This window comes from Homo sapiens, chromosome 10 (genome assembly GCF_000001405.40).
Source record: "Homo sapiens chromosome 10, GRCh38.p14 Primary Assembly".
Classification (NCBI taxonomy): domain Eukaryota; kingdom Metazoa; phylum Chordata; class Mammalia; order Primates; family Hominidae; genus Homo; species Homo sapiens.
The window spans coordinates 7,070,584-7,092,375 of NC_000010.11; the positions used below are offsets into that span (position 1 = coordinate 7,070,584).

At 41.1% G+C, this 21,792-nt stretch overlaps 1 long non-coding RNA gene across 1 annotated transcript in view, besides 2 other annotated features; it reads right to left on the minus strand.

Annotated features, from left to right (window-relative positions):
* LOC105376387 (uncharacterized) overlaps nt 1–21,792 on the minus strand; it is a 294,200-nt gene that overhangs the window by 246,314 nt on the left and 26,094 nt on the right. The gene's annotated exons all lie outside the window — the stretch shown is intronic.
* Nucleotides 5,386–5,565: a silencer, noted in NCBI's record as "fragment chr10:7117931-7118110 (GRCh37/hg19 assembly coordinates)". NCBI's record gives its function as "represses an EF-1alpha promoter that drives an FKBP-Casp9 reporter gene in an ReSE screen in phorbol 12-myristate 13-acetate-treated (for megakaryocytic differentiation) K562 erythroleukemia cells {active_cell/tissue: K562(+PMA)}" and the evidence as "EXISTENCE:reporter gene assay evidence [ECO:0000049][PMID:32094911]".
* Nucleotides 12,325–12,826: an enhancer, noted in NCBI's record as "NANOG hESC enhancer chr10:7124870-7125371 (GRCh37/hg19 assembly coordinates)". NCBI's record gives its function as "activates a minimal SCP1, AML or CMV promoter by ChIP-STARR-seq in primed H9 embryonic stem cells {active_cell/tissue: H9 hESC(primed)}" and the evidence as "EXISTENCE:reporter gene assay evidence [ECO:0000049][PMID:30033119]".

A 21,792-nucleotide genomic window follows, 5' to 3' on the forward strand; every position in this document is an offset into this window, starting at 1 on the left:
AAGTACAGAATGGTACAATGCGTGTCTTGTTAACATGCAATAGAGTGGGGGATAGCCATACCTTTTATAGTTTCAATAATATGAATCTAGGATATCTATTTCTATAACACAAACCTATGTAACTTCTCTGATAAGGTTTCCATGCATTAGGAAGACTCAGTGACAAGATTTTGCTGTATATTGTTAGAGGGGAAGACGAGTTCTTTTTTAAGCTTGCATTTTCTAGGAGTCCTCAATAGATACTGATTACAGATTCATAGATGCAGCTTCTCAATCACTTTTTCATGAGTTTTCACTTTTGCACTTTTCTTTGGGCTTGCCCAACTGCACAAAAAATTTAACTGTCTAGATTCAAGTCTCAAGGCTGACAGGACTTTAAGTGTATTAAACAGATAAAGTGTATGTATAATAATATCCACCTCTTCCATCTGCTTCTGAAATTAAAACAAAACAAAACAAAAAACAGAAAAAAAAACCCCGGGAGAATGAGAAGTGTGTCTTACAAACCAGTGATAACCAAATAGGATAAGGTTGTGGGTGTGAGGTACACGACACATTGAGCCAGCTGTCTCACTTCAGGCTTCAGGTCACCCATCAACACCTGCAGATCACAAAACTGCAGGCAGGACATTCCATGGCCCTCTGCTGGTGTTCAATCTCTGCACATGAAATTGTAGAGAATAAAACTAAAATACTATAAAAAATAATACCTATGCAATGACAGACAAAATTATGGAAAAAAGTGGAAGCAGAGTAATCCATCAAATATCAGAATAATAAACATTACAAACACGGATATACATTTGGTACATATTCAGAGGAAAAAGAGAAGAATTTATCTCTGTCTCATTTTTTTTTTTACTTTTCTCATGTTTAACTCAATACAACAAAATATACATTTAAATTGCTTTCAAGCATCAAGAGTCTATTTTTTCCATTATGACAGTTTCACAGGATGTTATCATTGTCGTCGTTTGAATAACTGATGGAAGCACTGTGGTTTTTTTTCACCAAGTAACTTAGGTAGTGTCAAACTTAACTCCCACCCAGTCCCCAGACAGCAAGGGTCAGAACCACCAATGCTTCTCCAACCACCCTATTCTCAAAATGTCATAGGATTGCCTCTCAGCAGAAGGTGAGAGAAGCCCACAAAATGGTAAAGATCACTGTCCTTGATAAAAGCAAAGGGAGGAGACATCCATATCAATCTATGTTTGAAGAACAGATGTAGGGCTTACCCTCCTGCTGTAAATAACTATAAAATGGAGAAATAAAATTATTTACAGAAATTGGACCACGGACTTCATCGGCTGTCATTCTGAGAAGAGGAGGACCCACCAGCGAGTTCCAAATTCACCCCAGCTTCATGCCTCTAGGCGCTTTCCAAACCATAGCGTGCGTGCACATGCGCACACACACACACACACACACACACACACGCACACAAAGGAGGAACATTCTCACCGGGTAGAGGAAACAAAGATTGGAGTTTGAGTCTTTTAAGGCAGGTGGAATATATGGGGCAGAGTGTCAGAAGGGAGCTGTGTAGAAAAGGAGTTCCGGAAATTTGCATAACATTCTTCCTTGTGTCTTTGGCCAGATGCAAAGCTGCGTATGTGCTGGAGAAAACTCTGCAAGACTTATTAGGAAACAGCTACTAGGTAAGGGGTTGTGAACTGAATGGAATTTCCAAAAATGACACAGTGCTGGGAGATGTTACAACTCCAACCGTTCATAATGGAGACACCACACTGAACATCCAAGGAAGAAAATCACGTCTTAGGAATAGATATGTTTTAGCCCTAGACTACCATCAGTTCTAGACCCAACCTAACAAAGCCTAAAATAAATGTTTGACAAAATCAACTGTCAGAAGAAAACTCAACATCTTTCAAAGAAACAAAGTAAAATCCACACTCTACAATGTATAATCTACAATGTACAGCATCTAATAATAGTTTTTTAAAGGACTAAGACATGCAGAGAAGCAGGAACATGTGACCTACTCCCAGAGAAAAAAATAGTCAATAGAAACAGACCCAGAGATTATATTAATGTTGGAATTAGTAAGCAAAAAAAATTAAAATAGCTATTTTATTTAAACATTTAAAACTTTTGCTAAACAAAATGCGCCATTAAGAAAATAAACAGGAAAGCCACAAACTGGGAGAAACTATTTGCCATACATAAATCTGGCAAAGCCTTATATCCTGAGTATATAAGAACATCTAGAAGTCAATGATAAAAAGAAAAAAGAACCTAATCAAAACATGGCAAAATCTTGGACGTACAATTTAAAAAGAAAGATATAAAAATGGCCAAAATCATTAAGAAAATCCAAGTTAAATGACAATGAGATGATATCACACTGTCACTTCAACATCTAAAATTAAAAAGACGGACAATACAACCCAACGTTGGCAAGGATGTGAAGCACCAGGATTTTCATGTGTTGCTGGTAGAAATGTAGAACTGTACAATTATTTCCGAAGAAAAGGTCTTTTTCTTTAGAGTTTAGCAAGAACCTGCCCTATAACCCATGATTTCCATTCCCAGGTTTTTATGCAATAGAAATGAAAACCAATGTCCACAAACCCCACATGTATATGGTATTTATTGGTGTTTATTGACAAGACCCCAAAATGGCAACAATGGAAATGCCATCAAAAAGTGAATGGATTATTTAAAATTGTGGCAGTGGAATACTCCTTGGTTAAAAAAAAGAAAATGAATTATTCTTATGCATACATAACACCATAGTTGATTCTCACAGACATTAGGATGAGTAAAAGAAGACAAACATGAAAGAAGATATTATGCATGCTTCTAATTCACATGAAGTTCTAGAACACACAAAACTAAACTGTGGAGAAAAAAATCAGAAGAGTGGTTTCCTAGGTGAGAATAGAGTGTAGTGCCTGGTAAGGATCATAAGAAATATCCTTGGGTGAAGCATCAGTTACGTGGGTGTGAACACTGCCGAAACACTGAATTGTACACTTGAGATCTGTACATTCCACTGTACTTAAGTTGTATCTCACTTTAGGCAAAGGAATACACCAGAGGGAAGGTGGCATGAGAGAAAGGAAGATGATGCTGTGATTTCTGGTAGCGAGAATGCCAGCAAACAGGTACCAGATTGCAATCCTGCTATTCCCCGTTCAGTCCAGTCCAGTCTGGTCCTAAGTCATTGCAAAGAACCAGTGGGAATCCAGCTTAGGAAAAGATGAAGAAAAAAGTGTAGCTCAGAAAAAGTGCAGAACAGCAATTGTGAGTATGATGCACCAGATCAAACCAGAAAAAACTGCCAAAAAAAAAAAGCAAGGTAAAATTGGATCAGGTGTGAACCTCCATGAAATAAAGCTTGCAAGATATAAGGTAAAACTAAGCCCAAGCCAAAACACATCCAACCACCAACATGATGCAGGAGAAATTATATGTCCCCCAACAATAGCAGATGTAAGATAGATCAGACAAGCCCTCTGCCCTTCTCCTAGAACACTGAGCCGAACTGTTGTGTAGTGGCCTAAAGGGTTTCCCCTCATCCCCTGCAGGGAGAAGCAGCCCTGTTTGTTCCCTGGGCTACGCTCCAAACATGCTGTCCTGCTGACCTCCCAACAATCCCAGGCAAGTTATGGGGCATATTGTGCCCAGCTGAACCCACAATCAAACGACATTAGCTTTATCTTCTTAGGTTGGTGCAAAAGTAATTGTGGTTTTTGCCATTACTTTTAATTAATTCATTCTAAATAACTCTTGATGCACCATCTACTATTATGGTCACAACTAACCAAGCACAGAACAGTGATCTCGTATCCAGACATTTCAGAAGTATGAGAAGAGTCCATGTGGACATACAGGAATGGTTACATGTGCTCTTCTCTTGGCCAAACCTGCTCCACCGAAATGGAAGGAAAGAAACAATAATGCTATTAATTCATGGGTAAAAAGAGAGTGTTAACAGGTATAACTGGGAATGAGAAAAGTCCATATGTTTTTGGAAGACAGAGTGGATGGAGGAACAGTGGGGGTGAGGCAACACAGAGAGATTCCTGCAATGGGGACTTCCTGATGAGAGGTGACACATTTTTCCTTACAGAACTGCTGAGAGGGGTAGTTCTAAGAGGGAAGATTAAGTTAAGCACATGGCTGAAAACAGTAAGGCTTGTTTCTTATCTGCATGTAGGACCACTGGACACTCCTCAGTGTTGCTCACCCCAACCCTTGCAGCCAGGCAGCCATACAGCCCCTCTCCCCAGAGGGAGACAAGAGTTACTCTCTGAATACATTGAAACTAAGATCCTCTGGACTCAGGGGCATTAAGCAGAGAAGGCAGCATGAAACACATGGCTGAAAACAGAAGGATTAAATGAAAACTCCACCTTGAACTTTAGGACTGCAGCCTGGGTCCTTCCCATCACTCTCAGATACCTGCAGCCAGGCAGAAGGACATCTCTGTGGAGACACTGCCTGGCTCCCGGGTGCACATCTGTGTTGCAGGCTCTCTCAAGAAAGCTGCAATTCCTCTTCAACTGCCTCAACTGGGGACTAAACCCAGAAGAGAAAAGTGTGGGATGGAGGGAACAGGACCCCAGAAAGGCAGCACAGGGAAGCCGCAGGCACTCAGCTTCATGACAGGCTTAGAGAACAAACTGGGACAGAGGAAGGGGAAGCTTGGAGCACATTTCTCTGAGGAGGTGTGGAGCAGGTGGAGAACTGGACGGCAGAACCGACCTGATGGACTGCTTGGCATTGCATTCGAGCTCTTGGCAAGATTATTAGTAGACGTATGCCAAATGTGTTAAAACATCTGGTAAGAGTTAGTGACAAGTACATACAAAACCAAGCAAATGGGAAAAAAATGAGGCAATAATTAATTCTAAGAATAACAAAAACATAGTGTGAAACAGAAAATGGAATCAAATTATATGACTTGACCCATTAGTAAAAATCATTACATAGCATTATCTAATTGGTAGATGTGGCCAAAATTTGATGTATGACACTACTGAGAAGACAGGGGAAGAAGAAAGAAAGAGGGGCTAGTGGAGATATAAAAGAGGTAAATGCCCAAATTTTAAAACATGTAAAGTTGATAGATATTATCTAAGATTGATCAATTAATGCATAGCAGTACAAGTATATGATTTGGAAATACAAAAGCAAATAGCAGAAAAATTACAACCTTGGAATTGACTTTCTCTGGGAAAATGGGGATGAGAAGGAAGAAGGCAGGTGCAGCCATGTCTCAGATGCTGCCAGTGTCCACCCACGTCCCCTTGGCCTCACCTGTCCTGTACATGCTGGTCACTTGCTTCTGCAAGTCCCTGGGGCTCTTGCCCTGAGTGCCATCTCTAGCTGGGCTCAGCCTGCACATGGGGCAGAATGAATGATCCCCATTCTCAGCAACCCTCAGACAAGCCATGGACAGGAACTGGAAATAGACCGTCCAACTCACCAATCCCTTGGGTAGGTCAACTCTGAGGTCCGCCGTACACCATCTCCCAGTGCTGCCTGCTATTATCTGCTCATTAACGTTCCCCACATTGGCTCCCTTCCTTCCTTTCTCCCTTCCCCACCTCCGTATGCGTGCTTCCTGGAATCACCTCCCAAAGAAAGAATCCATTTGCACTCTGATTCTTGTTTCAGGGTCTGCTTCCTGGGAAGCCCAACCTAAGACCAGCTGTTACTCAACAGGAAACTTTCAGAACGACAAGAATAATGCCTTCCTTCACTATGTGCATACAACCTCCAGGAAAATAAAATAAAATAGTGTAAGAGTGATTATCTTCTGAAATGATGCCATGTTATAGCTATTATCGTGTTAAACATTAGTTTATTTATTACTCAAGTGAATTTGCAATAGATTCATTATAAGACTATAGGCTCAATTAATAAGTCAAGTATGATCATTTACTATTGGAATTAAAAATGATCTCCTAATACATATCACCTGGTGGTGCTGCCTTCTGAATAATAATCTGGAAGAGGTGCCTCTTCTTCCCAGCACATCGAGCTAGCGTTTCTGGGCAGTCATTGTGTCAAAGAGTAAGCTTTTCTATGGTTTCTCTGTTTTCACATTTGTTCCTCTGCTAGACCTAATATTTGTTTGCTTGCTTTCTTTTACTCCATAGATTTTTGTTAAGTGTCAACTAAGTTTGGCAGCAATATTGACTTCTCTGCTTATAAGAGTGTTACTGCTCTGGGAGTTTCACTGAGAGTCAAGTGACCATTTATTGATTAGGATTTATTATCCTCTATGAATCCTGTCTTTCTACATAATAGCACTGTCATTACTTTCTAAAATACTCTAAGGTGTATAGTCTGATTTTGTAATGCTTCACCCATTCACATATGAACACTAATGACTGCATTGCGTTATCATCTTACCATCAGATTTCTCGATTCCCAGCCAAGGACTTCATTGACCAGTGCAGTGACCAAGCCAAAGTCACAGCTCGCCAGATCTGGTTAAGTTTGTTGCTAGGACTGTTCACTTAGGCAGCTGGAGAACACAGATGCTCTCCAAATCCAGACTCAAAAACTAGCACAGAGAAACTTGTCAGTAGTGACAGGATGACCTCACTCATCAGAATATCATTCTACATTGACTTTACTATTCCAAGTTTATAACTCTTGATCTACTTTGCTAACAGCGTCCTTGCTCAGAATGTCAACGAAGTGATACTAGCTCACTCATAACCACTCCACTAAGAATACACAGCATAGCATCAACTTCCAAGAGCAGTGCCCAAGAAGCTATGGGCCAGAAAGAAATTGTTTCATGAAAAATGCCAAGAACAAAGAAAAAAAGGCATATTTTAAGAAAATAAAATGTTGGGGAATAAAACTGACCAGCAATAAATAGGCCCATTGCCAAAGAATTAAGGCAATGTCAACAAGTGATTAAAAGATGGTAGAACTCCTCAACTTCTAACTTCTTGGTTTTCACTCAGGAAAATGGGCAAGCATTGTTCCAAAGGAGAGAAGCTTCAATGTAGGAGGAAATATACATGCTATTCTCTTTCACAGAATTCAAATCCAAAAGCACCTTTCATGAAGAGCTGAAGTTTGGAAACAAGCTCACAGATTTGGTCTCAAAGGTAGTGCCATAATGAGGGAGAGAATTGGAGGGGAACAGAAGACATGGCAGACAAACATGACCCCAGCCTTGAGGAAAGAAGCAAAGGTGAGCTTTAGGGAAGGTAAACTGCTCAGTGTGAAGTGCTGTAAAGGAATTCTAGAACAGAGCTTCCAACAGGTGACTTGGAATATTACTAATTATTACAAGATTGTTAGGTATCAGTCATGCCAGGGATATGTCAGAAGCCTGGTGTATTTTATTTCCTGAGGCACTCAATGAAGCCTCTTATTCTATCTTTGAACATTTCTCAAATGAACATTTAAGAAATGAACATTGGCTGACAGCAGGATAGATGGCCTTGGAGCTGTTGAACAAGCAGGCAAGCTGAAGGAGTTTGATTAATCAAAGTTAACCTTTCACGGGGCAGTTAATGGTGCAGTAAATAATCATGATGAACAACTTGGGTTTGGGATATGGGCCTGTAGTCGCCAGCTGGATGGCAAGTTACTTAACCTCACTCGCTGAGCCTTAATTTCCTCATCTGTCTCTAAATGGTCGTGATGATCATGCTGAAATCCTGAAGTTGGGGGCTGAATGAGGCGGTGCCTATATGAGGGTTTACACGGGCCAAGTACACTCAATAGTAAGTGCCCACCAAAGGTCACCTCACAAGGCTTCTATCCCATGGGTTTAAAAACAATTGGCTCATTCATCTCACAATTTCATTTCTGTATCTGGGAAGCATCTGCAGCTGAGAAAGCTTATCGGCTTGCTAAGTTCTACCCCAACCTGACCTCTGCAATATAGAAGCCACTCCATAAATGTACTTTTCCTGCCTCCTATGTGCTTCTCCCTCCAGTGCTGAGTATTTTGATAGCATTTTCTTTTCTTAATGAGAAGCGAATTCACAACTTAATTTTTATTTTATTTTAATTTTATCTTTTTTTTGAGATAGAGTCTCACTCTGTTGCCCAGGCTGGAGTGCAGTGGCGCGATCTTCGCTCACTGCAAGCTCTGCCTCCCAGGTTCATGCCATTCTCCTGCCTCAGCCTCTCCGAGTAGCTGGGACTACAGGCGCCCGCCACCATGCCCAGCTAATTTTTTTGTATTTTTAGTAGAGACGGGGTTTCGCCGTGTTAGCCACGATGGTCTCAATCTCCTGACCTCGTGATCCGCCCGTCTCGGCCTCCCAAAGTGCTGGGATTACAGGCGTGAGCCACCGCGCCCGGCCTAACGTTTTTTATTGTTGTAAAAAATGCATAACACAATTTACCATTGTAACCACTTTTAAATATATAGTTCAGAAGTCATGAGTATATGCACATTGTTGTGAAACAGATCACCAGACCCTTTTCATCTTCCCAAACTGAAACTGTCTACCTGTTAAACAACAACTCTTCATTCTCTTTCCCCGCAGCACCTGACACAGCAGCCCACCTCCTGCCCCTAGAATTTTGACTGCTCGAGGGACTGCACATGAATGGAATCAGTTTGCATTTGTATCTTTGTACCAGGCTTATTTCACTTAGCATAATGTCCTCAAGGTGCATCCATTTTGTGTACGTGACAAAATTTCCTTCTTTGTTATTAAGGTTGAATAATATTCCAGGGTGTATAATAAAAAAGAAGTCAGCATCACTAATACCAAAACCAGGAAAGAACATAACAAAAAAAGAAAACTACAGACCAATATTCCTGATGGACATAGATGTAAAAATTATCAATAAAATACTAGCGAACCGAATCCAACAGCCTATCAGAAAGATAATTCACCATGATCACCATGATCTAGTGGGTTTCATACCAGGGATGCAGGGATGGTTTAACACACAGAAGTCAATAAATGTGATACATCACATAAACAGAATAAAAAAAATCATATGATGATCTCAATAGATGCAGAAAAGGCATTTGACAAAATCCAGCATCCCTTTATGATTAAAACCCTTAGCAAAATCAACATACAAGGGACATGCCTCAATGTAATAAAGCCATCGATGACAAACCCACAGCCAACATTATATGGGACAGGGATAATTTGAAAGCATTCCTTATGAAAACTAGAACATGAAAAGGATGCCTATCCTCACCATTTCTATCCTAGCCAGAGCAACCAGACAGGAGAAAGAAATAAAGGGCACCCAGATCGGTAAAGAAGAAGTCAAACTGTCACTGTTCACTGATGATATGGTCGTATACCTAGAAAATCCTAAAGACTCCTCCAAAAAACTCCTAGAACTGATAAATGAATTCAGCAAAGTTTCAGGATACAAAATTAATATACACAAATCAGTAGCTTTGCTATACACCAACAGCGACCAAGCAGAAAATCAAATCAAGAACTCAAACCCTTTTATGATAGCTGCAACAAAATAAAAATAACAATACTTAGGAATATGCCTAACGAGGGAGGTGAAAGACCTCTACAAGGAAGGCTACGAAATTTCCTTTATCCATTTATCTGTCAATAGACACTGGGGTTGCTTCCACTTATTGGCTATTGTGAATGCTGCTATGAACATGGGTCAACAAATATCTTTTCAAGTCCCTGCTTCCAGTTCTCTTGCATAAATATTCAGAAGTGGAATTGTAGGACTATATGGTAATTCGATTTCTAATTTTTTGAGGAACCACTACACTGTATATACCACATTTTGTTTATTTATTCATCTGTTAATGGATATTTGGGTTGCCACTTGCTTTTTAAGCTTCTATGTCTATTTTCATTTTATTCACCAAGTGTGACGTGTGCCTAGCATGTCAGCAAACCAGCATCACAAGGGTCCCAGGAGCACAAAATAAAAGGAAAAGACCCTGCCCTGAAAGTCCTAGCAAATGCCTTTAAATTCTCCCCAGTCCTCAAACAGAGCTCAGGACATTATAACCATGTCCAGGAGTTGCACACTACTGGTTTCTTAACATAGAATTTTCCTCTGAGACAATCTCCATCTTAAGTAGCCTTGTAAATAGGGGAGAAAAACACTCAGTGGCAGTCTCATGGCACTAAGGATATTTCCATTCTTCATCTGAAAGTCTAAGCTTACGGTTTTCCCTTTGGTACCCAGTAAATTGACAGAAGGCACTGGGTTTATCCTTGCTTTGCTCTTATAAGTCATTACGGAAGGATGGGGCCAGCTTCTCCCCTGCAAAGGTACATGGAGGTGACTCTTACTCAGGAGGGGAAGCTAAATACCACTTGAGAGGAATGGGCATGGAGAGGAAATCTTATAGGACCTCTTCTGGAAGTAGAAATTTAGAATTGAGCTGCGCATAGAGTTTTCTTGCATGTTGAATTGGTCCTGTTTAATTGCTACATCCACATTCTTCTTCCCACGCTTGTCACAGAGCAATCCCAGGCTGACACGCCCCACCACGGAGCTTCCCAAACCCAACAGGCAGGGGAATCTCCGGCACAGTAGAGTTTCCTAGTGGGTAGGATACCAGGACCCTGACTCAGCTCTAGGCGTCTCCCTGCAGCTTTTGCCTACCCAGGATACATCCAAAGTACTCCAAGCTTGAAAGAGAGTATGAGGCTGCACTCCATTCTGAAATGAACAAAAACCAAGAGAGAAGCAGTCTAAATCCCTTCACCAACACACCCGATTTAAAGCATGAGGGTGGGCCTTGGGGGGAAGACAAGAAGGAAAAGAAGAAAGAAAATGATGCCAACTGGGCTCCAACCCTGTTCACAGCCTGGAATGACACCGGCAGATGGCCTCGGTTGGATCCTGCCTCCCCACTCATCCTTCCTAGGTTGGGCAGGTTACTTCCCTCCTCTGCCTGCATTCCCCAATCTGTGAAATGGACACAATAACCCATGCTATGTTCTTAAACAGTGGTGGATGCAGAATAATTCCTCGAACTAAGTGGGGCCCACGTGGGAGTTCTAGCACTGTCATTCCTGTACCTTTCTCTCCCCAGTTTCCCTGCAGGTGGGCGATGCAGGTGCCCACCTTATCTCTTCTCCACCAAAACCTGTGCTCAGGAGAGAGACAAAGTGTCAATCATTTCTACTGAATATGAATTTGTGGCCAGTGGGGTTTCCTTTTTAAAGCTTCATCAGTGATAGTGAAATATGATGTTACAGGACATCAGTGAGCACCAAGGGAATCATTTTAGAGAAGAAGCATTTGCTTCCCAGAAAGTCTGAAAACCCACTCTGTGGGCAACATGGGCAGCCAGCCACCCCTCTGCCCAGGACCAAGGAGCAGAGATGTGGCTATTGCCTCTTGCAGCTCTTGTCTGTGCTGGATCCGTGTCCCTACCCCTTAAACAGCCCTGAGTAGAGCTGTGTCACAAAACAGCAACTGTGGGTACCTTGGAACTGAAGTCCATGGAGGAGTTGAGGCATCGCTTTCTCAAAAGGAGCGACAACATTCCATTTACACAAAACAGTGGCCTAGTGGGGAAGGTTTCTTTTAACAAACGATAGTGCTTTTTATTCAATGGTTTAATAATTAATCAGTGGAATGAAAGCTACATTTAAAGGAAGTGGATGGAAAATCGATAAGTAAATGCACATCACTTCTTGTGAGAATAAAATAGGCTTCGGCAGCTGGAGCAATGAAAAGCTCTGTTGCAAACATGAATCCATCCCTTGCTCTTCCTTCCTGCTTCCCCTGTGTGCAGTAATTGAGGGGCCAAAGGGTGGGAGCATCTTCCCCATTTGTCACATAGACGGGGAAAGTCCCAGCCCACGAATGCTTTTTAAGGTTTTCAAAAACAATGATTAAAAGACAGATGCGTTTTGGATGGGAAGCTGTATCTTTGTCTTTTTTCAAAAACAAACAAACAAAAAAAGTAGCAATGCAAGTTCTCCACCCTCTCAATCCCTCTATGCTTTAAAATACGAACAGAAATGGAAAACTGCAAAGCTTGAGACACCTATGCTCACTAGAGAAATATTTCCAGCTACTTCTGGTGAACACATTTAGGATGCATCTGACACCACCCTCAAAATATTGACTTTATGTTTCAGTGAATATGAGGATTTATCGTCCCTTGAGGTAAATATTGACCTCCGTACTGCCACAGTCAATATTTACTGTGCTTTTCATTTCGATAAATCTTGCTATTCACCCAAATGAGAATTCAGTGCTGCTATGGCTAAACTAGCTGGAAGGAAAGAAGGCAGAGGAAGGCGAGTGCCCAGAAGCTGCATAACTCCACTCTGCATTTTCTGAAAAGGGGTCCCTGGCTAGCAGACACATCTCAGAGCAATTGTTAAATGGGTGTGATTTGCATTAGGCATTGCCCCCTCCCTTTTCACATTCTAACTTCTCCTATATACTATTTAACCCAGTTCCCTTGGTCCCGTGTAATTCAGTCAAAGAGAACCATCCCGATAGCTCTCTTCACTTTGGTGTACTGAAAAGGACTTGATTTGCTTAGTACCAGCTAATGGCTTGGCTTTGTGGAAGTCTCCCTGCCATACCTCGCTGTCAAAGGAATGCATTTCTAACTGTGGGATTCTGCAAACAGAGGCACATCCCTAAGGAAGCTGTTTTAAGAAGGACACGTCTGCCACATTCCATTCTATGGGCTGAATTCCAAAGAACTAAGATATTTCTTCAAACTCTGGCTAATCCTCTACACTCTGCTAAGGAGAGAGGAACTTTGGCATTCCTGAATGAGTCCTTAGGACCCTACATTCATCCTCTCTTAGGAAGCTAAGACATCCATGAGTTGGTCTCCAACTCTCGTGTTCAGAATTGGAAAGTGAGTACAGCAGAGTGGGGATAAAGGGAGGGGTGATTAGAATCACCCCAGAGAGTGTAATGTCTGAGACACGGAACATGCAGCACACCTTTTAAATGCTCGTGGAGTGGATAAAATATATCAACATCCATTGGTTTGAGGACTATTCATACTTATCTAGATGGAGGTTGGTGTGATGTTGGTGTAGTGACCTTCTAAATATTCCCAGTAGGAAGAATAGAATTTTCTCAGCCTATTCTGAATAGTCCCCCAATCCTGACTATGAAAATTAATTCATTGTCCCAGAAGTTTGGCTTAGAAGATTTTCTAAACTTCAGTTCATTTGAAGTTTGGTTTTTAGTCTGAATATTTATACTTGTCTTTCAAAGAAGTCTGTGGACCACATTACTTATTATTTTTTTCTGACTGATTTCACTTTCCTAGACCTCCATATACGTTATGAAAATTTTTAAGAGTTCAGTGATTTGCTGAATCATAGGTTGCCAGAGAAAAAATACTAGAAATTATCTGTTTCACTTTGGTTATTTTACAGATGAAATTGAGGCTTCTAATGCTGGTAAATATGAATACATTTACATTCTACTACCCACGCATTAAGCTGGATAGAAAGGGGGAATGTCATAAAGTGCAGGAATTTCAACAGATACTTTCCTAGAACATCATAAATGCCTGGAGCTGGTGGGAACAGAAGGAGGAGGGATCAATTTTTAAATTTGGTTTAATTTGACATTTCCAACTATCTAAGTACACATTAAAGTTTTCGTCCTCTCTGCACATTTCTCTCCATTCTTAATTTTTAAAATTACTCAATTTATAGATAAGAGAGTCAAATAAGTGATTTTAGAAGGCCCATAGTATTGATCTACTGTGCATTCATTTCAATGTGCTTTAACAGGAAATGTGTAGTCGTTTGTAAATCTGTCTTGGATGCTAAGTCCCTGAAGAAGGAAATACATCGGTCTCTGTCCAGCATCCCATCACCTTGTACATAGTGTTGGAAGCTTATATCACTTGCAAGTGTATTTAAAAATAGAGTTGCTGGGCCTCAGATATGGTAGTTAAAGGAAACCCGCAACTGGGCATTGGAATCCTGTTGCAAAATACCTCGCAACGAATCCGGTAAGAGGCAGTGATGTTCCTGCAGCTGCACGGAGTAAGGACCAGATGCTTGTGTCTGTGGTTATAAAAGACAAACAAGCAAACGTGTGTTATTTCTCCAATCACCTACAGTTTAAAGAAGGAGCTGGAAAACATATTTTTTTAACCTACGAAGTTACTAGGAAATACAAAGACCTTGGCAAAATAGAGAAGCTGGCTGGCTTTCTTTGAAAACCTGACAAAATGCATTTATCTGACTCATCTTGATGTCTTCAATGGACTCACAGGTTGATAAACAAACAGGAGAGAACATCAATTCATCCTTTTATTTTCAGCTGTGCTTTCTGTGTACTTGACTGTCCATTATGTAAAGCTGAGAAGTGGCTCTTTGATTGTGTTCACATTTGATTAAGAAACTCTGTGTTTGGCAGACCAAAATATACCAAACTGTTAATTGCTTTTTAAAGGAGAATTATGACACTTTTAACAAGCCACATATCTTACTGAGCCTTGTTAGAGTGGATGCTCTCATTCTGCGGAACTGTCTTATTTTGAGATTTGGGTCCCTAATTGCTTATAAACCATACTGTTTATTGAGTATTAACTGTGGCATGGCAGTTTATTATGGGAACTTATTGCTTAATGCCTATAAAAAGCAGTCTGAATGAGCTACTCTCTGCCTGTAGTGTCTCTGCTCCCCAAAACACACACACACATACACGCACTCACAAGCTCACAGGGCTACACTTAAGCTCATCAACTGCAAGAAGTATTGGCAGAATTACGCAGAGGCAAAGCTTAGGTAGCACGTTGCTTGGTAACCAGCAAGTCCTCTGTCGATTCTTCAGGGTGTCAGCCATACATTTTCCTCTGCACATTACCTACAATGAAAAGGTCGGTGACCCAATGAAATATCAGATCAAGTCAAACTATTAACTGGACAAATGCATTTAAAGTGCTCTTGTCCCCCGGTTGGGTCTGATTAGTATACATTATGGTCTTCTGAGGCAAGCATGAATCATTAATAGATTCAGACTCCGCTGCTCCCTGCAATGAAACATCATAACTCACTGTGGAGTAATGCAGTGTGTTGTGTTTATAAGATGTGGACCCTTCACTTAGTGTGATCTACAGTGTTGTTATTTTGTGGTAAGAACATAGCTCCTTCTGTTTTTGTTTTTGTTTTTTTTTAACATTAGTAAATAGTGTTTGTCATTGCGTTAAAAAAGAAAGAAAAATCTTTCCCCAGAAAAATCGTTCCCTGCCTGCCTGTGCCTGCATGGGGGAGGGGAGAGTAGCTTGGCCCGTAAATAGATGCATTGTTTTTTTGCTCACTCTATGAAACTTTTTTTAACCTCCTCCAGTTTAAAGTCAATTGTAATAGACCCAGGCAGGAAGAATCTCAATTCTGAAAATTAAAGAAAGGCAAACAATCTCAAGACAAAATTCCCGGAATTGAGTTTGAACTCTGACCTCTCCTTGTCTTCTTCCCTCTTCGGTGACTGTGCTGTGGCAGCCAGTTGGTTTTTGTATGAGAACCTAGAAACTGGGAATGTCTCCAGCTCTGCTTTCTCCCCCTGTGGCTAGAACCAGAAACTGAAGCTTCTGTGAGCTCAGCCATTTGTAATTTGACCTCTATGTGTCTAAATTAAGCTCACCGGGCAAAAGTGACTGTATGGTAGAACTTGGGTTTGATTATCCCTGCTACCCCTAATAACCCTATTTAATCCACATAAACACATTTTGTGGTGGGAAGAGGGAATACAGAACAGTATGATTTGCACGCAGCAGCGCTGAAACATTAATACTTACCCTGGAATGTACTCCCAGCTCCAGCCGACAGCCAGCTATTCTGACACTCATGACTATTGGGTAAACTGAAACACTATCTGACACGTCAGTCTAGCAGGCATGTGCTGAACACCTACTGTGTGCTAGGCACGGTGGGTGCTAGGATCCAAGACGACGCTCTCAGCCTGCACATCCAACCACAGCGGCAGACGTGGGAGGAGCTTAGTCCTGCAGCCGCGTGAGTTCCTTTACTTGGTTGAGTGGCAGGAATCTAGCCAAGAGGATGCCCATATCAATTTCTAAAGAGTTCATTCCACCCACAGTTCAAAAAAAAAAATGATGTATTTATTTTTCCATGGGAGTTAAGGAAGAAAACGCCCCAAACAAATGGAACTGGATAACTTGTAAAGAAAGATGATGGCTAACCTCGTGAAATGTTGGGCGACGTTTCATTCTGTTCTGTAATGCAGAGTTCAGCAGTTTCCATTCTTTGCTTTCCTTTCTCTTTTTGCCTTTACTTTGTGTGCTTGCCTCTAGTCTATTTCACAGGGTCCACAGAATTAGGGACCTGGACACTGCCTCTCAGGGAAATCATTACCAAGTCCCCGGTGCTTAAAGTTCCTATCACACAGTAGCAGCTCCTACATGTGTCTTCCTTCTCATTTTCTCTAGTATATAGCCACTGCTCTTCAGAGCTGCTACCAGTTGGAGCTGCCATTTAAGAAAGTATATACATAACAGGTACCAAATCTCTGAAATCCTGAAACTCTGGCTATGTACATCTATCACATTTCCGCTGTTTACAACTCCATGTCAAACGTATGTTTGTTAAAGCTACCTTTATTTCCAAGAATGTGGCAGCCGCGGGCATTGACTTCGGAGGCATAGCAAAGTTTCTCGACATCTGACTGTGCCACATAGCTCATGTAGTCCATCTGTCCTTTCAGAAGTGTCCCCAACCTGTAGTCATCTGGGTAAACCACCAACTTTATTGTTATGGGCTGAATTACATCCCCTAAAATTCACATGTTATACTCCTGACCCCCATTCACTCTGAATTTACAAATGTAATTAAATTCCAATGAGGTCATTAGGCTGGGCCTTCATCCGATCTGACTTGTGTCTATATAAGAAGAGGAGATTGGGACACAGACACACACCAAGGAAAGACAACGTGAAGACACAAAGAGAAGGCACCATTTGCAAGCCAAGGAGAGAGGCCTCAGAAGGAACCAACCCTGCCAACGTCTTGATCTTGGTCTGCCAAGCCTCCAGAATGATGAGAAAATACATTCTTGTTGTTTAAACCTCCCAGTCTATGCTACTTTGTTATGGTAGCCCTAGCACACTAGTATATTCATGCTTACAACAGTATCAGATTGCAGAGAAAGAAACATCAAAACATGAAATCAAGTGTTAGACTAAATTTCACTGTGCTTCAGGACAAATAGCACCCGTGGACAAATACATGTGCTTAAATGTTTATCTGGATTAGTGTCCAGATGAAGCCAATGGGCTTTAGTTTCTATCTTGGCTACAAAGCAGTGCGGGCAAAGGGCCATGCCAGGCCATTTGGTCTGTTTCTCTTCTGTTGACATCAAGGACACCCACTTGGAAGATGCTGGTTTGCCACCTCTAAGCATATCCATGTGAACATGAGATTCATTCTGAATACAAAAGGAAATTGGGAATGCCAAAGGAAGGACTTGGGCCGAGACCAGGAGGGAAAACTGGCATTCGTCCAGTTAGAAGACCTACGCAATGATAGAAAATGCAATCTCCAGCAAGTCCCTCATTCCATTATGTCTCTGTGTAATGGGAGACATAACACCTCCTTTCCTATATTAACAGTCAGAGGAGAGGTCATAAAACAACACAGTGTATGTATTAGGCCAAAAGCTGGAACGGAGGCTGATGAATGTACCAGGAAAGGACCATTAGCAAAATGATGGATTAAAGTTCTGTTTACATTTCTATTGGGATGGATCCTCGCTTGTTAGTTTAAGTAATCCTGTGCTTTGATTATAGCCATCAGCACATAAAAACAGGCTCTGTTAACCTCGAAGGTGTAAAATTCTAATGTGCTCATAGAAACTCAAGAACACTATCATTCACTGAAGTACTGGGGACTCCGAAAGAATGAAGGAGCCCTTAGTTTAAAAAAATAATTAAAGTTGTCAAGAAAGGCAAAAATAGGCCCATGGTCTATGAATAGCTCATTTTGCATTCTTTAGGTACATGGATCTGCTTCTTCCATTAGGTCTGTAAGACCGAGGATTATCTATTTCAATTTGGTCATTCTACAGATGAAATTGAGTATTCTAATGCTGACAAGTATAAATACATTTATCTTCTACTACCCACAGGTAAAGCTGGATATTTCCTAGCTTGTGACACAATATTTTTTATTTCCTACTCTGTAGCTATACACACCCCACTTCCAGCTCCCTTTCTTGTAGAATTTACCTCCTCCCAGAAGAGCTGAAAACACTAGATACTTTCCAAGGCTCCTTCCATTCTTCTGTTGCAGCTAGAGCATGGGCATGTGATGCAACCCAATCCTAGCCAATGAACAAGAGAGGAAGTCTGCTGAGAGTTTGGGGGTGTATTAGCCCATTCTTGCACTGCAATAAAAAATACTTGAAACTGGGTAATTTATAGAGGAAAGAGGTTTAATTGGCTCACAGTTCCACAGGCTGTACAGGAAGCATTGCTGAGAAGGCCTCAGGAAATTTACAATCATGGCAGAAGGTGAAGGGGAAGCATGCACGTCTTACGTGGCTGCAACAGGAGTAAGAAAGATGGGGGAGGTCCTCCACACTTTTAAACAACCACATATCATGAGAACTCTATCAGGAGAACAGCACCAAAGGGGGAAATCCACTCCCATGATCCAATTGTCTCCCACCCGGCCCCTCCTGCATTGGGGATTACAATTAACATAAGATTTGGGTGGGGACACAGATTCGAACCATATCAGCAGGACTTCTAAGAAAGGTTGAATTCCTTAATAAAAAGAGTAATAGATGAAATGCTCCATTTCTTCTTGGGTCGATAAAAGTCACATCTATATGTGAGGTCAGGAGTAGTCAATTGCAAGTATGAGGGCATGAGCCTAAGGTCCAAGCCATGACACCAAGAAAGTCTGAGTCACGACACCAAGAAAGTCTGAGCCATGAAACCAAGAAAGTCTGAGCCATAACACCAGAGATCATATCCCAGAAAGATGGGACGAGCTTCAGTCCTTGAACACATCCACAAGCCACTGAACGAACCTGAGAACTGTCTGCCTGGACTTCAAGTCATGTAGGAAAATAAATGTCCTCATTGTTTAAGCCACTTTTGGAAGGTTTTCTTTACTTCCATTTGAAAACATTCTAATATACATGTGGCTTTTACAGGAATCGGGACTGTTGCAATCCTAGTAAGTTGTGTAGTAGTTTCTCTAACTAGAGTCAAACATGACAGAGTCACCAGAGCATGAAAGTTTAGAGCTGAATGAACCTTAGAGCTCATTTTATACATGAGGAAACTAACGACATAAGGTTAAATGATTGATTCATTCTAGTTCTTGCATCTTTTCTCTCCCACCCAGGTCCTGGGAAGTTTATTGGCTAAAGTTCACACTTCAAGCTGCCCAGTGCTTCCCAAGGCAGACCACAACTTCTGAACCAAAAGAGACCAGGAAAATCGCCTGGACTTGCTAAATATCATTGAATGGAATTCCATAGGTGGTCATTCAATGATGTTCTCTCCTGAACACACATTTTCTAGAAAAATCTTAATCTATAATTCAGGACATTCCTCAAGCTCCTGGGGAATTGCGGAAATAGAAAAAAAAAGTAGCCACTGTCCTTTTTCATACTGTCCAAGAGTGAACATATGAAACGTTATTCAGTCTAATTCTCTGCTGCGTGAGCTGAAAGGAATCATGGGCTAGGAAATCCAGGAATAGTGATAGTCATCACAATATTGATGTGAATTTTACAAATTAGAAACTACAAACACACACACACAAACACACACACACATATACATTTTTTAATCTTCTACTCAGCATTACCTTGTAATACAGGCAAGAAATATTACTTTTGCTAACGTAGAGAGAGAAAAAAAATAACTGAGGCTCAAATTGTTAAAGACCAACGTGATCTGGTAAGCCCAGTTTTTCACTTTGATTAGTGGCTTCCTGTTTACTTTCTAACAAAAGTATAGCTATTTTATTTTAGAAGAGCCTAATAACATTCCTTGACTGGAACTAAAAAAAAAAAGAAAAAATGCTAGCAACGATTTCAGCCTCCTCCCTAAAAACAAATCAAGGGAAACTCAATGTTCCTTTTTTGTGCCTGGAAGGAGATGCTGTTTAGTTAAGCTCAGCTCTCAACCACGGACAAGGGTGAGCAATGGGCTGGCCATGATTCAATATAATCTGTCTTCCTCTAACCTAAGTGCTCTTATAAACAATACAAATTAATGTTCTACTTCATAAGATAGATGCCCGTAAAGTGCTTGTTATTATGGAAATGTTTCATGCGTGACCATCAGCAATGTCAAGACATGAGAGATTATGTTCCCAAGAAGGCGTTATTAGTTTGAGTTTAATTTGGTTTATTGGGCAGTACACTTAAAGCACAGGAGAAATGATTATTGCCAGTAACAATAACAATGATGATAGCTGGCATGTTTCTGCCCCTTAGGCAACAATTCTGGTATGAAACCTGGTTCTTCTTGATTTCTTCATTGCCCAAGCACTTAGGGCTCAAATAGGCCAGGAACAATTTTATCGAATGCCTACTACAATCAAGGTACTTTCCTAGGCACTGTTGGCATTTATTGAGTGCCTTCTGTGTCCAAGAATCTTTATTATCATTATTTCTAAATTCCCAACAATCTGTCCTGGCGCCTATGATTATCTGCCTTTTGCAAATGGTAAAAGAAACTAAAAGAATTTAGGAGCCTGTCCTCCTAGAACATATACTCTTCAGCTCACATGTCTCAAAAGGCATAAGACTATCAACTAATACAATTGGAAAACTTGCTTTAACATCATGACATTACCAATTGAACAGCCCCACTTCGAAAATAAATTAAATTGACATATTAATCTGTTGCTTTCTGTAACAGGGTTTTATTTTAACATGCCTTAAAAACTGCTTCTGTGTAATGTAATCCCAGCACTTTAGGTGGTCAAAGCAAGAGGATCACTTGAGCCCAGGAGTTTAAGGCCAGCTTGGGAAACATGGTGAGACCCCGTCTCTTCAAATCTTACGTTTTGTTTTTTTTTTTTGAGACAGATTTTTGCTTTTGTTGTCCATACTGGAGTGCAATGACATGACCCCAGCTCACTGGAACCTCCACTTCCAGGTTCAAGTGATTCTGCTGCCTCAGCCTCTCGAGTAGCTGGAATTACAGGCGTGCGACACCATGCTGAGCCAAATTTTTTTTTTTTTTTTTTTTTTTTGGTAATTTTGTAGAGACAGGGTTTCACCATGTTCGCCAGGCTGGTCTCCTACTCCTGACCTCAAGTGATCCACCCACCTTGGCCTCCCAAAGTGCTGGGATTGTAGGTGTGAGCCACCGCGCCCAGCTGCCACACACTTTTAAACAACCAGATCTTGCAGAAGCTAACTGAGCAAGAACTCACTCATTACTGCAAGAACATCACCAAGCCATTCATGAGGGATCCGCCTCCAGGACCTAAACGCCTCCCCCCAGGCCCCACCTCCAACACTGGGAATTACATTTTAACATGATATTTGGAAGGGACAAACATCTAAACCATATCAGCCCCCTATGACCTTTGAGTTTTAAATAATCTTGGCTATTCTAACACTTTCAGAGGAATGAGACGCACAGCTCTTACGATTCTCTCTTTGAAGCCACATATTTCCCTGAAATGCTTCATGGACATTCGTCTGACCCTGCTTAATAGCATGTATCATGTTAAATCATTCTATTTTTATTTGTGTGACTACTTAATGTATGCATTTCATCTACATGGTCAGCTCCCTGTGGGCAAGAATCCCAGTGTTTTGCATCCCAGTGAGTTCCCAGAGTTGACGAGGGCCTCACCATTTAGGAGTGTGTGGATGAATGAATGG